Raw genomic sequence first — 4,036 nt, forward strand, 5'->3', positions numbered from 1 at the left:
GCCACCAGGCTGGGTTTCGCACCAAGAAACGTGTCTCCCGGAGCTTAGACCACTTGGTGAATTCTCTTTCTTGTTATCAGAATTGAAGACCTGTAATGCCTGGTTAGTGTCAAGGTTTGTGAAACACTGTTTGGATAATTACACAAGTTATAAAACAATAGCTGGTGTGAAAATTACAGATGATTCATAATTACACATATGGCTGTCAAGCTTTCTGCTAGAGAGTCTTTCAGCCTGCGAGAACTCAGTGGGAGGAACTTTTTTTTTTTTCCTAAAGGGATCTCATTGCTCATTCTGCAATGATTAGAGCTGGCCAGAAAATAGACACTGGCAATACAGCAAATAAAGTCGAAGGGAAAATGCAATCAGAGAGATCTAGGAGGACGACAATATTTTTTACTGAGCACTTCCGATATGCCAGACACATTTTTATTATGACATTTTATTTTGAAACAGTTCAAAACTCACAAAAATTGCAAACTAGTGCAATAATGCCCATGTACCCTTCATCCAGATTCTCCCAATGGTAACATTTTTTATAAGGATAGTACACTGTCAAAACTAGGAAAACATCGTTGATACCATGCTGTTAACTCACATAGAGACCTTATTTGGATTTCATCATTTTTTACATCTCTCTCTCTGTCTCTCTCTCCACCCCATCCCCACCATCTGTTTGTCTCTGTTTCTCTCTGTCTCTCTTTTCATGTATCTAGTTCTTATAGCTCTATAGATAAAGGTAACCATCACCACAGTTGGGATACAGAACTACTTCATCACCATAAAGAAATTTTCAGGCTGGGCGTGGTGGCTCATGCCTGTAATCCCAGCACTTTGGGAGGCCGAGGTGGGCAGATCATCTGAGGTCAGGAGTTCGAGACCAGCCTGGCCAACATGGTGAAACCCCGTCTCTACTAAAAATACAAAAATTAGCCGGGCGTGGTGGCGCACACCTGTCATCCCAGCTACTCAGGAGGCTGAGGCAGGAGAATCGCTTGAACCCGGGAGGTGGAGTTTGCAGTGAGCCGAGATCATGCCACTGTACTCCAGCCTGGGCAACAGAGCAAGGCTCCATCTCAAAAAATAAAATAAAATAAAATAAAAAATAAAATAAAATAAGGGAAATATTTTTAAATTGCAATTTTAAAGATATTTTAAGTTCTGTGGACTATATGGTTTCTGTTATCAACCAGTCAACTCTGCTTCATCGAACAACTCATACTCAATACATACATGAATAAGCATGGCTGTGTTCCAATAAAACTTTATCTACAAAAGCAAAACAAAACAAAACAAAAGACCACCTTTGAGTTGGTCACAAACTTTGTGAAACATCATTGAGTCAGTTGCGTAAGTTATACAACAGTGACTAAGTGTGAGAACTAGTGATGACTCCCTTCATTGTTATCAGTGGAGATAGATGATGCAGACCTGGCTTATTTCTTAAGGTGCACTGTTTCAAAAAGCTACAAAAACTCAGGACAAGCTCCTAATTGTGAAGATGAACAATTTCACTCATCTTGGTCTACTGCCTTGCAGGGGTGTTTTGGTAGAGTGGTTTCTCGACAGTTTTTCTTGAAACCCAAATCCAAATCCAAAGCTTTGCTGAGTAATCCATTATCCTTGAAACAACCCCGTGAAGTTGTACTATTATTCTTGCATTTGTACTATTATTCTTGTATTTTGGCTCGGAAGACTGTGTGCCTAGCTGCTCTGCTATCCTGTCTCTGTCCAGCACACACATACACACACACGCACGCGCGCACGCACACAAATGTCAACATTGGTTTCCTCTGGTTGGTGAGATCATGGGGTGTTTTTTCATTTTTGTTTTTTGAGACAGAGTCTTGCTCCTTCGCTCAGGCTGGAGTGCAGTTTTGTGATCTCGGCTCACTGCAACCTTCACCTCCGGGGTTCAAGTGATTGTTCTGCCTCAGCCTCCCCAGTAGCTGGAATTACAGTCTCCCACCACCATACCTGGCTAATTTTTGCATTTTTGTTAGAGACAGGGTTTCACCATGTTGGCCAGGCTGGTCTCGAACTCCTGGCCTCAAGTGATCTGCCCACCTTGGCCTCCCAAAGTGCTGGGATTACAGGCGTGAGCCACTGCACCTGGCCCAGGCTGGGGTTTTTATTATCAGAAACTGCTAGACTTTTTCCCGAAGCGGTTGAACCATTTGACACTCCCTTCAACCAGGTATGAGAGTTCGAGGTGCCCCACGAAGTGTGCAACATCTTGGCGTTTTCATCTTATTTATTTTTATTGAATTTATTGTAGTTTTTTGTTATTTAGTTTTTATTTCATAATCATAAACTTAACTCTGCAATCCAGCTAGGCATGGAAGGGAACAAGGAAAACATGGAACCCAAAGGGAACTGCAGTGAGAGCACAAAGATTCTAGGATACTGCAAGCAAGTGGGGTGAAGGGGTTCTCTCCCAAGCTACAGAAGGAATGGTCTGGTCGTTAAGATAAAATACAAGTCAAACTTAGAGTTGTTCACAGTCAGCAATGGTGATCTCCTTGCTGGTCTTGCCATTCCTGGGCCCAAAGTACTCCATGGCCTCCACAATCTTCATGCCTTCTTTCACCGTGCCAAAGACCACGTGCTTGCCATCCAACCCCTCAGTCTTGGCAGTGCAGATGAAACACTGGGAACAATTTGTATTGGGTCCAGCATTTGCCATGGACAAGATGCCAGGCCCTGTATGCTTTAGGATGAAGTTCTCATCATCAAATTTCTCCCTGTAGAGGGACTTGCCACCGGTGTCTTTATGGCGTGTGAAGTCACCACCCTGACACATAAACCCTGGAATAATTCTGTGAAAGCAGGAACCCTTATAACCAAATCCTTTCTCTCCAGTGCTCAGAGCATGAACCTTTTCTGCTGACTTTGGAAACTTATCTGCAAACAGCTCGAAGGACACGTGGCCTAAGGGCTCTCCATCAACGGCGATGTCAAAGAACACGGTGGGGTTGACCGTGGCTGATAGTACAGGACTCGCAGCGGCAGTGTCTGCAAAGCCTATTTTAATTTTTTAAAACCGATCTGATGGGTGGGTGGTAGCGTCTAATTGTGGCTTGAATTGGATTTCCTCTCATGACGAAAGAAGTTGAGCATTGTTTCGTGTGCTTTATGGCCCTTTGTATGTCTGCTGTTGTCAAGTGGACCTGTGTACACCGAGAGCTGACCCACTCGTGTATCAGTTCTGTGGGGCTGCTGTAACGAACTAGCACAAACTGGGTGGCTTTAAACAAAAGAAATGTATTCTCTCAGAGCTCTGGAGACTGTAAGTCTGAAATCAAGGTCCCCATGGTGTCGGCAAGGCCACACGCCCTCAGGCTCTGCGTAGAGTCTTTCCTGGCTTCTGTTGACGGCTGCTGACCACTGGCCTTCCCTGGCTGGCAGCTGCAATACTCCAATCTCTGCCTCTCTCTTCACATGGCCCTCTCCCTTTGTGTCTGTCTTCATATTTTCTTCCCTGTTTTTATAAGGACACCAGTCATACTGGATTAAGAGTCCACCATACTCTAGTAAGACTTCAACTACTTATACCTGAAATGACTGTATTTCAAACTAAGATCACATTCTGAGGTCCTGGCGATTAGAACCTCAACATATCGGCTGGGCGCGGTGGCTCACGTCTGTAATCCCAGCACTTTGGGAGGCCGAGACAGGTGGATCACCTGAGGTCAGGAGTTCAAGACCAGTCTGGCCAACATGGTGAAACCCCATGTCTACTAAAAAAAAAATACAAAAACTAGCCAGGCGTGGTGGTGGATGCCTGTAATCCCACCTACTTGGGAGGCTGAGGCAGGAGAATTGCTTGAACGTGGGAGGCGGAGGTTGCAGTGAGCCAAGATTGCACCATCCACTCTAGCCTGGGTGACAAGAGCAAAACTCCATCTCAAAAAAAAAAAAAAACAAAAAAAACAAAACAAAACAAAACAAAAAAACTTCAACATATCTTTTTGTGGGGGAACACTTCAACCTATAACATTATGGATTCAGTAGCCTGCCCTTTAAATAATGTCCA

The 4,036-nt window shown here is 44.1% G+C and overlaps 1 protein-coding gene across 1 annotated transcript; it reads right to left on the reverse strand.

Annotated features, from left to right (window-relative positions):
* Window positions 1–2,277: 2,277 nt before the first annotated feature.
* Window positions 2,278–3,028, reverse strand: PPIAP59 (peptidylprolyl isomerase A pseudogene 59; the record flags this gene model as incomplete). The annotated part of the gene is made up of 1 exon (XM_047439804.1): window positions 2,278–3,028. A coding segment is annotated over one exon (540 nt), but the record flags the coding sequence as incomplete, so codon positions are not given.
* Between the last annotated feature and the right edge of the window lie 1,008 nt (window positions 3,029–4,036).

Source organism: Homo sapiens, chromosome 19 (genome assembly GCF_000001405.40).
Source record: "Homo sapiens chromosome 19, GRCh38.p14 Primary Assembly".
Lineage (NCBI taxonomy): Eukaryota > Metazoa > Chordata > Mammalia > Primates > Hominidae > Homo > Homo sapiens.